Raw genomic sequence first — 21,775 nt, 5'->3', positions numbered from 1 at the left:
TGTATTAAGATATGTAAGGAAATACTTTTTTTTCCTATACTTAGAACTAATGCTTTGTGCTTGCCTGAGGGAGGAATTCAAATGTAGTTGTCAGGGGCTGAGCTTTCCTGGTATAAGCTGCTCCGTGGCAGATGCAGGTTTGGTGGTGCCAGCCTGAGAACCAGCCAGGGATTCCCACTACTCCAGCTCTGCAGAGGATCCTAGGCTGTAAATCACATGCTATATCTTGGAACAGGAGAATGGATTCTGACCTGCTTTGTCTCCCAAGGAACAGGGCACCTGGAGATTGTGACTTCTGCCTCTAAGAAGAGTAGAGAAGTCTACCACTAGCTGCAGCCATTATTGTCTGTTTTGGTCATGCAATAATGTGTCTAAGGTATAGAAACCCACTCTAGAGCAACCAAAATGGGTGAGTGGATGAATGTTTTTGTAAGGATACAATGGGAGTTTTGTGGATACAGGAACTGTGGCTGGGTGAGAGAATCCAGAGAACTTAAAGGAGGTAGCTCAGGAGTAAAACTGACCTGGGTTCAAATCTGGCTCTACAACTTACTAGTTGTGTAATCATAAACAAGTCACTTTTATAGCCCTTTATGTATGTATGTTTTTTTTCTTTTTTGAGACAGAGTCTCACTCATTCACCCAGGCTGGAGTGCAGTGGTACGATCTCAGCTCACTGCAACCTCCACCTCCCAGGCTCAAGCAATCCTCCCACCTCAGCCTTCTGAGTAGCTGGAACTACAGGTACGTGCCACCACACCCTGCTAATTTTTGTATATTTTGTAGAGATGGGGTTTTGCCATGTTGCTCAGGCTGGTCTTGAACTCCTGAACTCAAGCAATCCACCCACCTTGACCCCCCAAAGTGCTGGGATTACAGGAATGAGCCGCTGTGTCTGGCCATTTTAGAGCCCTTTAAACATTTTTCCCCCTTAACTGTACTAGGGAAAGTATTAGTTTCTTCCCCCTTAATCTGTGAGGGTCAGATGCCATGTAAAGTGGCTAAGAATGATGGCTAGCATGGAGTAGGTGGCCAGCAATATACTTTAAAAATGACTCCAGTCCTCTAAGCCTGGCTCATAGGAGACTCATGGGCCATTCCCAGAAATAGAAAAGATAGACAGAGGAGATGATTTAGGGAGTAGGAGATGAATTACATTTTGGTTATGTTGAAATTTTCTTCTGAACAAGATAGTCCAGTAGGAAGTTCCCACAAACGGATACGCATCTAGGAGAGAAGCCAAGGCTGGCTAGAGAATCAGATTTGGGACCCATCCAAGGAGAAATGATAGTTACATTAGTGAGAACAGAGCCACTGAGAGTACTGAGGCAGAACAAATGGACTACGGGAAGACATAAATTTAAGGGCGAGAAGAATGAGAGAAATAAGCAAAGGAGTGGCCAGACAGGTGAGACAATTAGAAACTAGTACAGAAGGGTGGAGAATATTTAGGGCCGTTATTTGGTGATTTTAAAGTTTTTGCAGATGTGTTGTTTTGTCGTTATCCTAGAATTGGTGTCATTACTAGAGAGTTTTATAATAGTCATTAGAAAACTGTAAGCTGCATTTGTGATTTACACATTAAGTTAAAAGAAAGAAAATGTCACTTTTTGAAATGAGAATGACGATACACATACATATATACATGTATGTCATGAGAAATTATATTTGAAAAGGGTAGTTGCGTAACTGTTTTCAAATGTGTAATCTAAAACCTTGCCCTAATTATAGTCCTGGGAGAATATGTAGTGCAGTGTGATGAGGACGGCACAAAAATTAGAATAAGGCAGTCTGGGTTCAAATCCTGTAACCTTAGAAAAGTTATTCGTGGTTGAGGTGCCTCCATTTTTTCTTCTCTAATATTCCTAAAATCCCACCACTAAATTAATAGTAGCATTTATTGTGTGATAATTGAGACAATGTATATGAAATACATTCACCAGTACTCAAAACATAGTAAATGACTGTAAAGTTACCACACTATTATTGTTTCTGTGTTAGGTGTTGATCTTTTGCATTCCTTCTTGTGCTTTAGTGTTAACACTAGGTGGCAGCAATGCTCTCTTAACCAATTAAAAGGATACTTGCTTACTTTCTGGCATAGAAGAGATGGGTGAAGCCTTACCTAATAGAAAGATGTGTGTAGGACGCCAGCAAAGCAGGGGGGAAAAAGATGAATAGAGATAGCAATAGAGATAGGTATAGAGACATCAATAGAGATAGAGATAGAAATAGAGGGAAAGAGGGAGAGAGAGGGGAAGAAATTGTAGAAAGAATTTGATATTTCAAAAGGATATACTGAAATAGTCATTGTGAGAAAAACCAGATCTCTTTTGGACATCCACCTTCTAGAAAATTGTATTATTTTAAAATACATGTGGGGAAGTGGCAGAGGCCATGTATTTTTTTGTGTTGACAATGTTAAGGATCTTAAGTCGTCCTGGATGGCAAATGTCTGTAAAGTGTAATGTGTTTTACTGTTCATTTTAATTTTAGTATTAATCTTAATTATAAAAAGATGAGCATTTTCCTCTATATAAAACATTCCTTCTACAATAAGATATTTAGTGGTATCTATTGCTGTCTAATGCTATCTATTGTTGTGTAACCATTATCCCAAAAGTTGGTAGCTTAAAATGAGGAAATAATGATTTTTTTTTTTAATTGAGACAGGGTCTCATTCTGCCACTCAGGCTGGAGTGCAGTCGTGATCATGGCTCACAGCAGCCTCAACCTCCTGGGCTCAAGGGATCCTCCTGCCTCAGCCTCTGGAGTAGTTGGGGCTACAGGTGTGTGCCACCACATCCAGCTAAGTTTTTTTTCTACTTTCTGTAAAGATGGGGTCTCACTATGGTGCCCAGGCTGGTCTTGAACTCCCAGGCTCAAGTGATCCTCCTGTCTCAGCCTGCCGTAGTGTTGAGATTACAGGCATGAGCCACCGTGCCCAACTATGATGAACAGTTATTATCCTATATTTTCTGAGAGCCAGGAATCCTAGGGTGACTTAGCTGGGTGGTTCTGGCTCAGAATTTCTCACGAAGTTTAAGTCAAGACCTCAGCTGGGGCTAAAGTTATCTGAAGGCTTGACTGGGCCTTGAAGCATCTGCTTCCAAGATGGCTTAATCACATAGTTGGTGGCAAAAGCCCTCAATTCCTTATGAATTTCTCCATAAGGCAGCTTGAGTGTCCTTTCAAATGGCAGCCAGTCTCTCCTAGGGTGAGTGACCCAAGAGAGACTGCAAGAAGGAAGCCACAATACCTTTTATGACCTTATCTCAGAAGTCATACACAGTAATGTCCACCATATTTGTTCACAGTGAGTCACACAGGAAATAACTAAATACAATTGTCAGGAATTTTATGCATATGCTGGAAATGGAGTTCCTGTATAAAGAAATCACAGGCTTGACCTCTTCTGGTGTGGCCCTAGACCTATTTCTACAACTATAAAAAGAGAACTTACCATGGAACCATGAGGAACTTCCCTTCTAAGGTGGCTTGTCCCCTATCTGGATATAACCTCAAATAACTTCTCTGTCTCTGTTTTTTCATCTCTAAAATAAAATCACCTAAGAAAGTGCCTTTCAAATTTTTTAGACCCATTGTTAAGGGCTGTACATTGAGCCTGAGCACACACACACGTATGTGTATATGTGTATATATATATGTATATAACAGAAATGAAAGTGCCACAAAATAATACCTTCTTACACTTATCTGTGTGATGTACTCTAATTTTATTCGCCATTCTATGCTAACTCATTTTTAAAAATTCCGGCCAAAGACCGGGCGCGGTGGCTCACGCCTATAATCCCAGCACTTTGGGAGGCCGAGGTGGGCGGATCACGAGGTCAGGAGCTCTAGACCATCCTGGCTAACACGGTGAAACCCCGTCTCTACTAAAAATACAAAAAAATCAGCTGGGCGTGGTGGCGGGCGCCTGTAGTCCCAGCTACTCGAGAGGCTGAGGCAGGAGAATGGCGTGAACCCGGGAGGCAGAGCTTGCAGTGAGCTGAGATGGCGCCACTGCACTCCAGCCTGGGCGACAGAGCGAGACTCCATCTCAATAAATAAATAAATAAATAAATAAATAAATAAATAAATAAATAAATAAAAATTCAGGCCAAAATCTGTAGTACACTGGTCTCACAGTCCATTGAGGGTTTCAACATTCTTTGTGGAAAGAAAACACCCACTGTCACTCCTCGGTGCTCACTTTTCATTGGTGGTAGAGCAGAAATGCTGAAGAGCGAGTGACAGTCCTCACCTTCCAGTTTCTGGGAGGCACAAAAGCACCTTTGAAAGATGGGTCAGCCCTGCGAGCCTACTCTAATCAGAAGGATCAGAAGTTGCTTGTCAGATGGAAAGGTTACTGTGTTTTATCTTTTTTTTTTTTTTGAGATGGAGTCTCTGTTGCCCAGGCTGGAATGCAGTGGCGCCATCTCGGCTCACTGCAACCTCTGCCTCCCGGGTTCAAGCAATTCTCCTGTCTGAGCCTCCTGAATAGCTGGGACGACAGGCGCGCGCCACCTCGCCCAGCTAATTTTTGCATTTTAGTAGAGACAGGGTTTCACCATGTCGGTTGGCCAGGCTGGTCTCGAACCCCTTGACCTCGTGATCTGCCCCTCTCGGCCTCCCAAATTGCTGGGATTACAGGCGTGAGACACGCGCCCGGCCCATCCACCGTGCCTGGCCCATCTGTGTTTATCTTTAAAAGTTGGCTTTGGAACTTGCCATGTGACTCTGGGCAGCCCTTTAACCACCCTGAACTCATTCGTCGGCTCCACAATTGAAATGAGTAGTATCGCTCTTACCTATTTCATAAAGTTGTTTTTAGGCTCACAATCAATTAGGCATTTATCACGTGGCGGAGAATCTCAGGGCAGGATCTTTCATCCTCAGAACAACCCTCTAAGACATAGAGCATTATCCTTGTTTTATAGATGAAGAAATTGATGCTTAGAGCAGTGACATGCGAAATCTTAAGGTTAAATCTTAAGTGGCAGAGCTAGAATTCCAAACCAGTTCTGACATCAAAACCCTCACTCAAAATGGAAATGTAAGCTCGTTTCATTTGACCGTAAGGGGTGGCCATCTGATGTATTCAAATGAAGAAATACGAAATCACCACAGCGTAATAACGGCTTTAGAAATTGATGCTGTCTTGCTCTGAACACGAACACCTAAAATATCACACGTGGGCTTTGAGCTCACTGCCTTCACCCACTGCAGTGTGAGAACGCTGGCAACAGGGCTTCGGTTCCCCAGATGTCAGCAGCCAGGACTGGGTACATTTCTTTAAATGGCGCCCGCAAACGAAGTCCAGATCGCTTGGATGCAGCCCCCTACATTGGAAAGCGTCCTTCCCAGGAAAGGTCTGGCTTACAGCCCTCTCTGGCTGGTTGGCTGGATTCCGAGAGCGCGGCCTGCCCCGGCCCGGTTACCAGAGAGCGGACCCCGCGGGGCGCGTCTCCCGGGCCCGGCGTCCCCTCCCTGGCGGGTGGGGAGGGCCCCACAAAGCCCTTTGTTGAGGCTCCCGTGTGACGCGAGGAGCCCCAGACTCGGCGCCCGCGGCGAGCGGGAAGGAGGCGTGTGCCTGCGGCGCGGCCCCGAGGCGTGTGCGCGGCCATGTGCGCTTAGCGCAGCGCGCTCTTACCTCAGTACCCCGGCCGCGACCCTCCGAGCCCCTGGAGCCCGGGTAACCAGGCCGCCGGCGCCGGCTCGCGGGGACCCGCCACCCTGGAAGCCCCGCGCACACAGCGCATTCCTGGCGAGTCGGAGGCAGGGTGGGGCCCAGGTGTGGGAAGGAGCCGAGGCTGAGGCCGTTCCCTTCTCCGCGGGCTCTGTGGGCGGCCGAGGCCCCCACCCGTCCCGGGAACCAGTTCCTCCCGGGCCCTGCGCGTCCGTCCGGGGAAGGGTAGGGGACTCGCCCCGAATCGGCGTGCAAGGGCGGGGACGCGGGAGTGGTGCTGAGTGTTTTGAATGAGGGAAAACCTGGGAAGGATTGCTCTGCTCAAAGTGCCCGGGCCGGGGCGGGTGGTTCCTGTGCAGGCAGAGCCTTTGGTCGCTCAGCACTGCCACGATCAGACACATTTTGGCGCAGCGGTGTTGGAGCTGGTTTGGCAGGCTCAGGCAAGGGCAGAGAGTGCGACACCGAAACTTTGTCTCAGGATGACGAAACTTACCTGGCATTTTCTCCTTATTCGGTGGCAAAAAATGAAAAAATGAGTTCATGGAAAAATGAAAGAGAACACGGTTTTACACTTGGGGTTCCAGTTCAATGAACACTTATTAAGGACTTTCTGACATTCAGAATTTTTTTCTATTATTTGGCTACAAAATATTCACGTGAGAGGCATTAATTAGGTGCGTTGCCATCATTTCAGGTAAAGTGAACAGAGTTATCTGTGACATTCCATCAGGCACCTATGTAACGAAATCATACCGTAATAACTCACCATGGCGTATGGAGTGCCAAGAAAGAACACAGTGAAAACCATTTTGCGGGGCAGTTGTTATAATGTGTAAGTACTATTTTTTTTTTTTAAATCAGGGTAAGCATTGACTGCGGTGGGGAGTGTCTTTGTTAAATAAAAGGACTGGACACTCTGTGCTCCCCATGAGATACTGGGCTATGTGAAGTATTTTGAGGTGTCTGGGATCTGATTTTTTTTTTTTTTTTTTTTGGCAACTGCTTTTATAAGTTAATTATCTTACTTGGTCTTTACAACACAACACTTTCAAGTGAGAAAACTGAGGTTCAGAGAAGTTTGATCAAAGTCACAGTCCTGTAGTAAGGAAATGCAAAGGCTAGACTCGGAGTCTTTTTGTTCCAAGACAGCATTTTCTGCTTCCACCCACAACTTTAAAAAAACTTTGTTTAGATACTCCACGTCTACCAAAAAAATGCCCTGGTGTCAGATGTATCTTAACAGAGCACCTAATTAGCTGGTACAAAGGGTCGCTTTTATATCCTGTATACTTTGGCAGGCAGTGGATGGACAACACATGCTTTCCAATCAAGAAGACGTGGGCTCCAAGCCTGGCCCTGCCCCCAGCTCCCTAAGGCCATCTTCTTCGTACCTTGATCTCTGCATCTGCAAGATGCATATAACAATTGGCTATGCGGTGTGGATTATAAATGAAGTCGTGTATGTGAAGTACTTGCACATTGCCTGTCATCCAGTGAACGCATAGTGAGCACGTGTTGCAACCACACAGTAGTTTTACTCTGTGGTATTGTAGTGCAGTCTTTTCCTTTCTTAAACGTTTGATTAGGCATCAGCTGAATTTGTCTTTTAAACAATATTCTGTGAAGTAAATGAGGATTCCCTACGGGATTATAAAACCAGAGCTATAAGAAATTCAGAGAAAACTCACTGTTGCATTCTGTTTAGTTTTGTCAGTTTAGTACGTATTTAGACCTTGAACTATGGGCAAGTACCATTATAGTAAGTGTCATTATTATTATTATTATTATTATTATTATTATTATTATTTTATTTGCATTGTGTATGTGCATTGCTACACAAGACACATACACACATGTATACACACACATATGTCTTTTTAACACATGGAATCATATTGAACTTTGCTCTGCCCACCCCTTCCTAATATATCTTGTATAGCCTAATAGGTAAGAGCACTAATTCTGGAGTCTGACTTCCTGGGTTCAGATCCCAACTTCACAACCAATGGCTTTGTGACCTTGGGCAAGTTGTTCTCTGCACCTCAGTTTCCTTCCTTCCTTCCTTCCTTCCTTCCTTCCTCCCTCCCTCCCTCCCTCCCTCCCTCCCTTCTTTCCTTCTTTCCTGACAGGGTCTCACACTGTCACGCAGGCTGGAATGTTGTGCACCTCCTGGGCTTGAGTGATCCTCCCATCTCAGCCTCCTGAGTAGCTGGGACCACAGGCACACACCACTGTGCCCGGTGAGTTTGTTTTATTTTTGGTAGAGATGGGGTCTCACTTTGTTGCCCAGGCTAGTCTCAAACTCCTGTCCTCAAGTGATCCACCTTGGTCTCCCAAAGTGCTGGAATTACAGGCATGAGCCACCATGCCCGGCTGGAGATCTTTATTTTTTATCAAGACAGGGTATCACTCTATCACCTCAGTGCAGTCTCAGCCTTAGCCTCCTGGGCTCAAGTGATCCTCCTGCCGCAGCCTCTTTTGTAGCTGGAACCACAGGCCTGTGCCACCACATTCGGCTAATTTTTTGATTTTTTTGTGGAGATGAGATCTCATCACATCACCTGGGCTGGTCTTGGCCTTCTGGCCTCCAGCGATCCTCCTGCCTCTGCCTCTGCCTCTGCCTCCCAAAGTGCTGTGATTATAGGCATGAGCCAGCATGCCCAGCCTACTCTTCAGTTTTCTAATCTGTAAACTGAGGATAGTAGTAGCACCTGCCTCTTTCATATGGTTGTTGCAGTAATTACATGAGTTCATGTGTGTAAATTGCTTAAAACAGTGCCTAGTAGTAGGTGCTATGTAAACAATAACTGTTTTATTGCTTATCTTTCCAAATCGACACAATCCTTATTCTTTCATTACATGTTTGTACTACAGTTTGTTTAATCAGGCTCTTCTTGATAGATATTAAGATTATTTCCATTTTTTTTTTTTTTTTTGAGACGGAGTTTTGCTCTTCTCACCCAGGCTGAAGTGCAGTGGCATGATCTCAGCTCACTGCAACCTCCGCCTCTCGGGTTCAAGCTGGGTTCAGAACCTCTCGGGTTCAAGTAGCTGGGATTACAAGCGCCCGCCACCATGCCCAGCTAAGTTTTGTATTTTTAGTAGAGACGGGATTTCACCATGTTGGCCAGGCTGGTCTTGAGCTCCTGGCCTCAGATGATCCACCCACCTCAGCCTCCCAAAGTGTTGGGATTACAGGCGTGAGCCACCATGCCCGGCCTCCATGTTTTTTTGTTTGTTTGTTTAAACGAATGACACTTCAACACTTCAATGAACACTCTTATACATTTTTATGACTTGTTCAGGTACATCTATAATAATTGTAGACTCTAAGTCACTCCTGAAAGTTAGATGATAAAGGATGGGGAAGGTGGAACAGGTAAACAAAGGGGTGGCTGGTGTAATATGGTCACTTCCCCTGCTTGGACCAAAGCAGGTCTTTCACTTTCTTCATGCATATGAGGCTGAACTCATATTGACTGCAGATGAGAAACATGTAGCTGATATTTTCAAATTTCAGAATTAGGTGAAAGAGAACAATTTTTAAAGGTTCATAGTGGTTATTTTGAATTTGTAGTTTGGAATTTCATCCCCATTCCCAGATTGCACACTCAAAACCTTAGTCTGTGCCAAGCACCCTGCTCAATGTATGATTATGCCCTTCTTTCCTTCTTCAATATGACCACATTTTTATGAGCTATAAAAGACTCTGGAGCTTACAGTTCTTATCTACATCCTCTTACATGGAAAGAATGGATTGACTTCATGGAGGCTGAATCAAAGTTCCTGGTGTAATTTCTGGTCATTGTTCAGTATTATCTCTATATTAGTTAATATAAATCTCCCTCTCCTGTCTGGAACTACAACTCTGGAAAATTCTGAACATCTCCCCCTCCACCCATAAACCAAAATGTCTAGTGGCAAATGGAACTGAGAATTAATGTCTTCTACATCTCACATAGTAGGTGCTTAATCAATATTTATTGAATGGATTAATGAATTTTTGCCCCAGACAGGAACCTTGGGATATTGCATTGCTTGCAAAGACCTGGTCCACAAACCTAGCCAATATCAAGTTGCCTTTCTTGGAAGAAATTTCATTTGGTGGTTCTGTGCAGCTCACAAAATGTACCACCATTAAAGATGGACTGCTCCCTTCTGCAGAATGTAAGTTCCTTAAGTTCTGCTTTAATAAGTTATAAATTCAGTGTGCCATTTGCTTATCAGAGAAATGTTTAAATCTGTGTATTTACACCCATACCTCCTATCTTTGTAGCTCTGTCATCTTGTTTATTATTCAGGCATATGGATTTTGCTGTATGATATTCAGTTTTGACTTAGTTATGCCTGATGAAAAATGTATGTCAGATTGTTTTGTGTATTTTCTTTTTCAGCTATCAAACTCGAAAGGGAGTATGAAGTGAAGCGTCTTTGTAAACTGAAGTGTCAAGAAAATACATCTAAGGAAATTCAGCTTCTCCTGAGGGAAAGGCCAGCCGGTTTGAGAAGACCTCTTCCATCTAAATGACAGTCAGTTCATGATTGAATCTGTACTCTGTGTCTTGCATCCAAAGGGCATGAAGGTCTCTGGACCTTTCACTATGTATAGTTCAGGGCAGATATTTGAATGCCCACTGGTGGATGGGCCACTGCCCACAGCTGTGGGTTAGTACCCAGTTCTGACAGATCTTCTGAGTCCCTGACATACTCTTGTTCCTTGTGTCACAAACGACAGCACTGTAAGTAGATGAAAATGCATTTGGAGTTGAGTCGTTTGTGCTATTCATTTTAATTTTTGTAAAATTGCACTAAAAGAAGAGGAAATTTCTTCAGCTGCATTGTTTTCAAAAGACATCTTAAATATGCATCTTTGAGATCCCAAGGAGGGACCAAAAGAAGGCAAGAGAGAAATTCTCTTAAAAATGATAAACTGAAACATTTCATTTGGTTAAGAAAAATAATAGACTTCATTTTTAGTACCTCCCTAGTTTCCAATTTTCTTTTTTTTAAATATATATATTTTTTATTGTACTTTAAGTTCTAGGGTACATGTGCACAACGTGCAGGTTTGTTACATATGTATACATGGGCCATGTTGGTGTGCTGCATCCAGTAACTCATCATTTACATTAGGTATATCTCCTAATGCTATCCCTCCCCCATACCCCCACCCCACAACAGGCCCCCGTGTGTGATGTTCCCCTTCCTGTGTCCAAGTGTTCTCATTTTTCAATTCTCACCTATGAGTGAGAACATGCGGTGTTTGGTTTTTTGTCCTTGTGATAGTTTGCTGAGAATGATGGTTTCCAGCTTCACCCATGTCCCTACAAAGGACATGAACTCATTATTTTTTATGGCTGCATAGTATTCCATGGTGCATTTGTGCCACATTTTCTTAATCCAGTCTATCATTGTTGGACATTTGGGTTGGTTCCAAGTCTTTGCTATTGTGAGTAGTGCCACAATAAACATACGTGTGCATGTGTCTTTATAGCAGCATGATTTATATTCCTTTGGGTATATACCTAGTAATGGGATGGCTGGGTCAAATGGTATTTCTAGTTCTAGATCCCTGAGGAATTGCCACACTGTCTTCCACAATGGTTGAACTAGTTTACAGTCCCACCAACAGTGTAAAAGTGTTCCTATTTCTCCACATCCTCCCCAGCACCTGTTGTTTCCTGACTTTTTAATGATCCTCATTCTAACTGGTGTGAGATGATATCTCATTGTGGTTTTGATTTGCATTTCTCTGATGGCCAGTGATGATGCACATTTTTTCATGTGCCTGTTGGCTGCATAAATGTCTTCTTTTGAGAAGTGTCTGTTCATATCCTTTGCCCACTTTTTGATGGGGTTGTTTTTTTCTTGTAAATTTGTTTGAGTTCCTTGTAGATTCTGGATATTAGCCCTTTGTCAGATAAGTAGGTTGCAAAAATTTTCTCCCATTCTGTAGGTTGCCTGTTCACTCTGATGGTAGTTTCTTTTGCTGTGCAGAAGCTCTTTAGTTTAACCATTCCTTCTGAAACTATTCCAATCAATAGAAAAAGAGGGTATCCTCCCTAACTCATTTTATGAGGCCAGCATCATCCTGATACCAAAGCCTGGTAGAGACACAACCAAAAAAGAGAATTTTAGACCAATATCCCTGATGAACATCGATGCAAAAATCCTCAATAAAATACTGGCAAACTGAATCCAGCAGCACATCAAAAAGCTTATCCACCATGATCAAGTGGGCTTCATCCCTGGGATGCAAGGCTGGTTCAACATACGCAAATCAATAAACGTAATCCAGCATATAAACAGAACCAGAGACAAAAACCACATGATTATCTCCATAGATGCAGAAAAGGCCTTCGACAAAATTCAACAGCCCTTCACGCTAAAAACTGTCAATAAATTAGGTATTGATGGGACGTATCTCAAAATAATAAGAGCTATTTATGACAAACCCACAGCCAATATCATACTGAATGGGCAAAAACTGGAAGCATTCCCTTTGAAAACTGGCACAAGACAGGGATGCCCTCTCTCCCCACTCCTATTCAACATAGTGTTGGAAGTTCTGGCCAGGGCAATCAGGCAGGAGAAAGAAATAAAGCATATTCAGTTAGGAAAAGAGGAAGTCAAATTGTCCCTGTTTGCAGATGACATGATTGTATATCTAGAAAACCCCACCGTCTCAGCCCAAAATCTCCTTAAGCTGATAAGCAACTTCAGCAAAGTCTCAGGATACAAAATCAATGTGCAAAAATCACAAGCATTCTTATACACCAATAACAGACAAACAGAGAGCCAAATCGTGAATGAACTCCCATTCGCAATTGCTTCAAAGAGAATAAAATACATAGGAATCCACCTTACAAGGGATGTGAAGGACCTCTTCAAGGAGAACTACAAACCACTGCTCAACGAAATAAAAGAGGACACAAACAAATGGAAGAACATTCCATGCTCATGGATAGGAAGAATCAATATCGTGAAAATGGCCATACTGCCCAAGGTAATTTATAGATTCAATGCCATCCCCATCAAGCTACCAATGACTTTCTTCACAGAATTGGAAAAAACTACTTCAAAGTTCATATGGAACCAAAAAAGAGCCCGCATTGCCAAGTCAATCCTAAGCCAAAAGAACAAAGCTGGAGGCATCACGCTACCTGACTTCAAACTATACTACAAGGCTACAGTAACCAAAACAGCATGGTACTGGTACCAAAACAGAGATATAGACCAATGGAACAGAGCCCTCAGAAATAATACCACACATCTGCAACTATCTGATCTTTGACAAACCTGACAAAAACGAACAATGGGGAAAGGATTCCCTATTTAACAAATGGTGCTGGGAAAACTGGCTAGCCATATGTAGAAAGCTGAAACTGGATCCCTTCCTTACACCTTACACAAAAATTAATTCAAGATGGATTACAGACTTAAATGTTAGACCTAAAAACCATAAAAACCCTAGAAGAAAACCTAGGCAACACCATTCAGGACATAGGCATGGGCAAGGACTTCATGTCTAAAACACCAAAAGCGATGGCAACAAAAGCCAAAATTGACAAATGGGATCTAGTTTCCAATTTGCAATGAAACATCATTGAATATTCACATGTGGTGCTTTAAAGTAGCAAGTAGAACTCACTTTGTTTTTGTTCTCCTAAAAAAAATTGTCAGGCTGGGGGTGATGGCTTATGCCTATAAATCTCAGTGCTTTCGGAGGCTGAGGTGGGAGACTCGCTTGGGCCCAGGAGTTTGGGACCAGCCTGGGCAATATAGGGAGACCCGGTCTCCACAAAAAATTAAAAAATTAGCTGAACATGGTGCTGTGTGCCTGTAGTCCCAGCTACTCAGGAGGCTGAGATGGGAGGATCCCTTGAGCCTAGTAGTTTGACGCTGCATTGAGCTGTGATCATGCCACTGCACTCCAGCCAAGGCAGCAGAGTGAGAACGTGTCTCAAAAAAAAAAAAAAAAAAAAAAATTCAGTCTTTTTCCTTCTGCCTAATTTCTTATTTTCTATCTGGAATGACCCTGAAGCATATGGAACACACATACTTGTGTGAAAGTGACATGAAAATACACAGAAGGTCTTATGAGGAAAACACAGAGTGGATGGGGGATGGGGAATTGATCAACTGGAAAGTATTGGATTTGGATGAATAATTTTTCTAGCATTTGAATCCAATAAAGCACACTTGGATATTAATGTTACATTTGAGCACAGTTTAGTATTTTTTAGATGATTCAGTAGGCATTTTAGGATCTTCTGGTATTTTTTTTTTCCCACCCAGGCTGGAGTGGAAGTTTCACTGTAACCTCTGCCTCCTGGGTTCAAGCAATTCTCATGCTTCAGTAACACGAGTGGCTGGGACTACAGGCATGCACCACCACACCTAGCTAATTTTTGTATTTTTTAGTAGAGATGGGATTTCACCATGTTGGCCAGGGTGGTCTCGAACTTCTGACCTCAAGTGATCTGCCCATCTTGGCCTCCCAAAGTGCTGGGATTACAGGTGTGAGCCACCGCGCCTGGCTGATCTTCTAGTATCTTAGCTTCATTTCATTATGAAAGGCACTGTGGCATACTGTTTAAGAATATAGACTTTAGACCTGGGTGCCTTTCTTCAAATCATAGCTCAGCTGCTTATTGCTGTGTGAGCTGGGATAAGTTACCTTGTTTCTGTGTTTGTTTTCTCATTTGTAAAATGGGGATAATACAGGTATACCTACTTCTTAAGATTAAATGAAAACTGCCAGGCACACAATGAGAATTACTCTAGTGTTAGACATTACTGTGAGTATCACTATCATTGTAATCTAGGTATAGAAGATATATTATATTGGGCTGATTCTCTTGATCTTTGTGCAGACCAGGAGTCTTGAAATTTAAAAAATTTGGTTTTATTCTTACAATATATATGTACTACTTGCCAAACTATCTGACCTGAATTTTTAGTTGAAAATATGGCCACTGTACCTATGGCAAATCCTGATCATTTCTCTTTAAAAATCATAATCCCTGATAATCAACTTGTCACTTATGTCTTTCTCTTAAAAGTAGCATGGAGAATTTGTGTGCAAAAATGTCACATCCTGATGTCCCCACTGTGTAACCCAGAAGCACAGATATCATTTTGTGGTCTGTCCTCTGGAGCCACCAGGGAGCCCTAAGCATGTCACACCTCACTCACAACCTGGCACTTTTAGTTAGTGGCATTAATTGTGGGTATAAGTAATATGCTTCCATCTGTTGTCCAAAAGACCATCAGGATGGCTAAATATTAGAAAGGAGAGTTTTATTGGTGATATCAGTTTGCGAATTGGGAAGAGAGTCTCTGAAGTGGACTGAAGGTGCTCTTTCTTCGAAGAGGGAAAGGGCAGGCTGGGTTTTAGGCCTCCCAGGGCGTGTATCACACAGTAAAGTAATACATATTCAGCAGGTTTTGGGGGGAAAGCTATACATATGTATGAAGGTAGTCAAGCACATGTGCAATGGGCAAACATATATGTAACATACTTCCCATGTTCACTTTGGGGTGGGGTTTTAGCATTAAAATAAGGTGGAGTTTGGCTCTATATCAAAAGTGAACTACAGGGCACAGACACAGTTCATGAGCAGCCTCTATAAGCTGGCAGAAACTGGCTTAAGGTCTGTAGTTGCTTTTCAGAAAAGAAGGTTTGTAAGGTTAGTCCTCTGCTCAATCAGAGTTGTAGTGGTGTGGGATGTAAATCAAGGTCAGGAGGGCTGTGATAGCTCCTGTTGTTATGGAATTTAGCAAGAGTGTGCTTTTTCTTCTAGGGGTAGGAATTTAGGAAGTTGTCATGCCAACTGAGCCCTGAGCCCTTGACACCATAATAATTTTTATTTCCTTAACCTTGTGGGCCATCTTAGTTGATAAAGAGGCATCTGTTCTGGTCTCTCAGATCACACATTCTTTTTCATAATGTTGAAAATGAATGAAACGTGTATCTGTAAAAAGTTTGCCAGAATAAAATATTTTAATATTCCTTGAGAAAAGATGGAATTTGAGAAAGCTTTGGTTCCTCATGATTTTCTTGAGAGAAGAGTCCTGCTTCCAGCTTTAAGATTCTCTTAATCATGATTTTAGGCAGGTGTTTCTGAACCTCTGAAAACTGCACATATTGAAATAAAATTACATTGCAAAATTCAGTAATATGTGTATATGTCTCTCCCTCTCTTGAAATGCCTTAAGAGCAGGAAAGGAATGCTTTCTTATGTTAGTGCTCCAATGCATAACTCATATAGGCACTCAATAGACGATCATTGATTGAAAATTTTCAGGGCCGGGCATGGAGGCGCACGCCTGTAATCCCAGCACTTTGGGAGGCTGAGATGGGTGGATCACCTGAGATCAGGAGTTCAAGACCAGCCTGGCCAACATGGTGAAACCCCGTCTCTACTAAAACTACAAAAAATTAGCCAGGCATGGTGGCATGCGCCTGTAATCCCAGCTACTTGGGAGGCTGAGGCAGGAGGAGAATCACTTGAACCCAGGAGGTGGAGGTTGCAGTGAGCCAAGATCACACCATTGCACTCCAGCCTGGGAGACAAGAGTGAAACTCCATCTCAAAAAAAAAAAAGAAAATTTCAGATGGTGAAAGATCCACAATAGAATGCACTTGATTGTTGCATTCTTATTTTTAATTTTTTTAATTAAAAGAATTTTTTTAGAGACAGGATCTGGCTCTGTTGCCCAGGCTGGGGCGTAGTAGCATGATCATTACTCGCTTCAACTTTGAACTCCTAAGTTCAAGCAATCCCAGCTACTTGGGACTATAGCTGCCTATGGTCCCACCATGCGTGGCTAATTTTTTTGGTATTCTTTTTAAGATAGGATACTTTTTAAAAATCAGGAGATAGCCATGATATGATTGAATATGGGACTAAAACAGTTCAAGACAAAGGTCAGAATGAACAAATATACCATTTTTACGTAAAACATTTTAAGGTTATAACAATTTAATTAAAACTGATAACAATTCAACTTCAGTGGCATGCAAAAATTCTACTTCTTTACATCTCCACTTTCCCCTACTTTGGTATTGATGTCAGAAATTACATCTTTCTATATTGTGTATTCATTAACATAATTTATAGTTATTTTTCATGCTTTTGTATTTTAGATTCTATGCCAAACTTAAAAGTGATCTACACAACAACATTACACTACTTACAATACTATAGAATTTTATATATAGATAGAGAAACCTTTTTTTTTTTTTTTTTGAGGCGGAATCTCACTCTGTTGCCCAGGCTGGAGTCGAGTGGTGTGATCTCAGCTCACTGCAACCTCCACCTCCTGGGTTCATGCAATTTTCCTGCCTCAGCCTCCTGAATAGCTGGGATTACAGGCATGTGCCACCATGCCCAGCTAATTTTAGTAGAGACAGGATTTTGCCATGTTGACCAGCCTTGTCTCAAACTCCTGACCTCAGGTGATCTGCCTGCCTCAGCCTCCCAAAGTGCTAGGACTACAGGCATGAGCCACTGCACCTGGCCTAATTCTACATTTTATCTACATATTTACCTTTATCAGAAAGCTTTATATTTTTCTATGGTTTTATGTTGCTGTCTAGTGTCTTTTTGTTTCAACTTGAAGGAGTCTCTTTAGTATTTCTTGTAGGGGTAAGGCCTAGTGGTAACGAACCTCCTCAGCTTTTGTTTATCTGGGAAAGTTTTAATTTCTTTTTAATTTTTGAAGGACAGTTTTGCCACACATAGTGTTGTTGGTTGGCAGTTTTTTCCCTTTTAGCACTTCAAATATATTACCTCACTCCCTTCTGGCCTGGAGGGTTTCTTTTATTTGAGACGGAGTCTCGCTCTGTCACCCAGGCTGGAGTGCAGTGGCGCAATCTTGGCTTACTGCAACCTCCAACTCCTGGGCTCAAGCAATTCTCTGCCTCATGCTCCCAAGTAGCACCACCACGCCTGGCTAATTTTGGATTTTTAGTAGAGACAGGGTTTCACCATGTTGGTCAGGCTGGTCTCGAACTCCTGACCTCAACTGATCTGTTCACCTTGGCCTCCCAAGGTGCTGGGAGTATTGGTGGGAGCCACCACACTTTGCCCTGGCCTGCAGGGTTTCTGCTAAAAAATCTGCTGGTAGGCTGGGCTCAGTGGTTCACACCTGTAATCCCAGAAGGTTGGGAGGCCAAGGTGGGAGGATTGCTTGAGACCAGGAGTTTAAGAACAGCTTGAGCAATACGGTGAGACCTCATCTCTACAAAAAATAAAAAGAAAATTATCCAGGCATGGTAGTGTGTGCCTATAGTCACAGTTACTCCAGAGGCTGAGGCAGGAGGATTGCTTGAGCCCAGGAGTTCGAGGCTGCAGTGAGCTATGATGATGCCACTGCACTCTAGCTTGGGTGACAGAGCAAGATCCTATCTCAAAAAAAAAAAAAAAAAGAAACAAAACAAACTGCTTATAGTCTAATAAGATCTCCCTAGTATGTGATGAGTCACTTTTCTCTTGCTGCTTTCAAGATTCTCTCTTTGTCTTTGACATTTTACAGTTTGATAATAATGTGTTTTGGTTTGGGTCACTTTGGTTTATCCTAGTTGGAGTTTGTTGGGCTTTTTGAATTGGTATGTTCATTTTCTTCCTCAAATTTGGGAAGATTTTGGCCATTATCTCTTCAAGTAGGCTTGCTAGTCCTTTCTCCCTTTTCTTCTGGGTCTCCCATCATGCATATATTGGTCTGTTTGATGGTGTTCTATAAGTATTTTTGGCGTTCTTCACTTTTCTTCATTCTTTCTTTTTGCTTATCTGACTCAATAATTTTAAGTGATCTGACTTCAAATTCACTGACTCTTTTTTCTGCTTAAGTGTCCTGTTGAACTCCTCTAGTGAATTTTAAAATTCAGTTATTGTATTCTTCAGCTCCAGATTTTAAAAAATGGTTTCTATGACTTTGTTGATATTCTCATTTTGTACATGTATCATTTTCCTGATTTTTAGTTGTTTATCTTCTCTGTTAGCTCACTTAGCATCTTTAAGATGTTTATTTTGAATCCTTTGTCAGGTAAATCATAGGCCTGCGTTTCTTTGGGGGTTGGTTTCTGGAAATTTATTTTGTTACTTTGATCAGGCCATGTTTTCCTGTTTCTTTGTAGGCCTTGTGCCCTTTTGTTGAGCTTTGGGCATTCAAAAAACAAAAACAAAAAACAAACAAAAAAACCAAAACCCCCCAAACCAAATAAAAAACAGCTACCTCTCCCAGTCTTTAGACATTGGCTTCATGCAGGGGAGGGTCTTCACCAGTCAGCCTGGCTAGAGTGTATGGCGACCTCCCAAACCTTTCTGGGAATGCATCTTCTCTGGGCTTGTGTGTATAACTTCCCAGTTAAAAAAGGTTTACTTGCTTCTTCACTGGAGCTCATAATCTTTTGCTTTTCCTGGTGTCTGTCTGTGGTACTACACTCTCTCCAGTGCTGTAACAAACTGTGGAGCTTGCCTTTGTTCCCAGTGGCCCCCCAACTTGGCATCCAAACTGCTGTTCTGGTCACTGTTCCAAGTCAGGTAAGATAGAACCCAGTCCTTGAGCAGCATCCCCGAAAAACCAGAATGTTGGATAAACAGTGCATTCATCTCTTTCACTCCTGAGGAAAAATGGGGTTAGAATTTTTCTCCTGGTTGTGCCACCTTGTGCACGGGAGAAGGAATGGCTAGGGCAGGTAAAATGCCATGAATTTTCCTACCCATTTCAATGCACTTGCTGAGGTGCTGCAACCTCTTAACTTGTTTCTGGAGTTCTTACTAAAGCAGTTTGGTTTGTATATTGTTAAGTCAGTGTCTTCCTTGGTGAGTGAGGATCTGAGGCTTCCTATTCTGCCACCTTACTGATATCACTCTGCAAATATAAAATTTTTGATACATTGCTATCACTCTGGGATTTGGGGGTTATGGATAACTTTGAGGTTACAAACCTATGCATTCCAATATCGAGTCAGTAGCATAAATGAGCAAAATGGTCCAGTGAAGCCATACAGGGAGTGCAGAGACTGGAGAAGGGGAGAGCATGCGCCTCCTCCAAAGGGGCAGCAGCCACTCAGCTCCAGTCTGTCGGTGCCATGCTAGAGTGGCATTGAGGGGATAATCTTCCAGTTTGATTTTCCCAAGGGGAAGATCTTCCAATTTTTTTAGAGAATCTGATAATAAAGATGAAAAAAAAAAACACATGCAACTCGTTATTGTGGAAAATTTCAAACATGCAAGAGTAGTAAGAATAAGAAAATGAATCTCTATGTCTCTATCACCTTGCTCCAGCACTTATCAACTCACGGCCAATTTTATCTCACTTATACTCACTCACTTTCCACACCCCAGTTCCCACCATTGGGTTATTTTGAAGTAAATTCTAGATAGCATATCAGTACATCTGTAATTATAGAAATGCAGATTTTATAAATGTAGATTTCCAATTTTATAAAGGTGCGGAACAATCAAAGCATCCTGGGGGTTATAATCCATGTAGGTCCATAGTTTAACCTCAGAGTAAGGAGTTGTGTCTGGTGGTTGCTGCTTTGACATATTTAGAAGCCATTATCTGAATTATCCCGATATTTTCTTCTATCTGTGACATATGGCACAAATGAAGAGCACTTTGTGTCAGGAGTTTTGATGTGAGTGACTCATTTGATTTAGTGATCCTCATCCCTGAAAAAAGTTGTCAGGAACCCAGGCTCTGTATATAGCCTTGGCTGTGTGACTTGAGAAGGTGGAACATCAACATTCCTAGTCCAAATTTGCCTCATAAAATTCCAGTGTGCTCTGTGTAAGACTCTGATCTGCCAACCAGAAACATTCCCAAAGTTTCTTGGCTGAAAGTCTGGGAGTTGGAGCTTTCACCAGATTACCCACTCTACTCTTTCTTCCCACTTCCTTTACATACCTGTCCTCTCCTATTTGTTCTTTCTGACATTTTGACTAAATTTCCTCCATCTCAGTAATTATCATAAATATTAGAGCTGGATTGTTAACTGGTTAAAATGTGGAAAAAGACCATTTTACGATTACACAACCAAAGATAGTTGTTAGCAGAAATTTAGTGTGTTTTCATTTCTTTGGAAATCAAAACCAATTCAATTTTCTTTAAAAATTAACAATCTCCAGCTGTATCAACATATGTTTTGGACTGTGAAAAGATTCATGCTGTATTTTTATTTTTGTAGTCCACATCCCACTGAGCGGCCTGAACTCTTTCTTTTTAGGGTTACTGTCACTAATCCATCTAGTCTCAGGGATAATACTTCCAATAATTTATTTGAAAACTGTAAATATTTTAAAATCTAAAGTCCGCAAATCTACTGCGCAATATATCTGGCATTGTTGCTGTTAGTTTTGATTTCTTAAAAATCAGATTTAGATAAGATAGTAATAGAGAGAAAACTCTAGGTTTTAGTAGATCTGGGTTCTAGAGTCTTCCCTGTCCCAATTAGTTGTATATCCATGAGAAAATCTCTTTTTTTTTATTTTAAAATTGCAACCAATTTTATTTTAATTTTACTTGGATGCAACAGCCAGAGAACTTTCCTAAATTCTGAATAGTAAAGATCACCCATAGCTTCACCATACAATTTCAGAAAGATACACTGTGTATGTAAATACCATGACCATCCAGAAATTTTCTTCTGGTTCATTGAAGAACTGTCTGTTCTTCTGTGTATGTAAAGATTTTGCAGGTTTTGATGGGCTAAAGGTCCTTGTAAACTGTACAATAGCTTCACACAATCCGACATTTCTAATCTTTTCATTTTTTCTACCTCATTTGGATGATAAAATAAAATCTTATTTTCCCCCTCTCCTTTGCGCAGCCTGAAGCGCGGATTGTAGATGAAGAAACTCAGCAGCGCCGGCGGGAACTGCTTCTCCTGGGCCGCCCAGGACCCGCTCCCGGCCCCGGCCGTCGCTGCGCTGCAGCCATCCTGGCCCGGCCCCCACCTCAGGAAGCCTCCCACGGCCCGCCCAGAGACCGAGAAAATCTCTTAATTTCAGTGGAACTCAGTTTGTTTCTCTTTTTAAACATTGCCAGTTATAAATGTATTTTATTTTA

At 42.1% G+C, this 21,775-nt stretch overlaps 1 protein-coding gene across 20 annotated transcripts in view, besides 4 other annotated features; it reads left to right on the top strand.

Annotated features, from left to right (window-relative positions):
* C4orf36 (chromosome 4 open reading frame 36) overlaps nucleotides 1-21,775 on the top strand; it is a 60,000-nt gene extending 38,225 nt beyond the window's left edge. For 4 of the 20 annotated variants that reach the window (NM_001414640.1, NM_001414639.1, NM_001414641.1 and 1 more), the window contains 3 exons: nucleotides 6,387-6,524; nucleotides 9,705-9,859; nucleotides 10,087-10,671. In NM_001414640.1, the coding sequence (NP_001401569.1) occupies nucleotides 6,460-6,524; nucleotides 9,705-9,859; nucleotides 10,087-10,220 (354 nt within the window). In that variant the 5' untranslated portion in view covers nucleotides 6,387-6,459 and the 3' untranslated portion in view covers nucleotides 10,221-10,671. Of the gene's footprint in view, nucleotides 1-5,557; nucleotides 5,918-6,386; nucleotides 6,525-6,990; nucleotides 7,152-7,821; nucleotides 7,933-9,704; nucleotides 9,860-10,086; nucleotides 10,672-21,536 lie in introns of those variants that run through there. The other 16 variants (NR_183020.1, NR_183021.1, NR_183019.1 and 13 more) reach the window with 15 other exon arrangements.
* Nucleotides 5,161-5,816: an enhancer, noted in NCBI's record as "H3K27ac hESC enhancer chr4:87813317-87813972 (GRCh37/hg19 assembly coordinates)". NCBI's record gives its function as "activates a minimal SCP1, AML or CMV promoter by ChIP-STARR-seq in naive H9 embryonic stem cells {active_cell/tissue: H9 hESC(naive)}" and the evidence as "EXISTENCE:reporter gene assay evidence [ECO:0000049][PMID:30033119]".
* Nucleotides 5,161-5,876: a biological region, named in NCBI's record as "H3K27ac hESC enhancer GRCh37_chr4:87813317-87813972".
* Nucleotides 5,337-5,876: a silencer, noted in NCBI's record as "silent region_15550". NCBI's record gives its function as "represses an Ori minimal core promoter by ATAC-STARR-seq in GM12878 lymphoblastoid cells {active_cell/tissue: GM12878}" and the evidence as "EXISTENCE:reporter gene assay evidence [ECO:0000049][PMID:35858748]".
* Nucleotides 6,087-6,146: a silencer, noted in NCBI's record as "silent region_15549". NCBI's record gives its function as "represses an Ori minimal core promoter by ATAC-STARR-seq in GM12878 lymphoblastoid cells {active_cell/tissue: GM12878}" and the evidence as "EXISTENCE:reporter gene assay evidence [ECO:0000049][PMID:35858748]".

This window comes from Homo sapiens, chromosome 4 (assembly GCF_000001405.40).
Source record: "Homo sapiens chromosome 4, GRCh38.p14 Primary Assembly".
Lineage (NCBI taxonomy): Eukaryota > Metazoa > Chordata > Mammalia > Primates > Hominidae > Homo > Homo sapiens.
The sequence above is the reverse complement of the archived record's forward strand: the minus strand, read 5'-3'. Positions and strand labels throughout refer to the sequence as shown.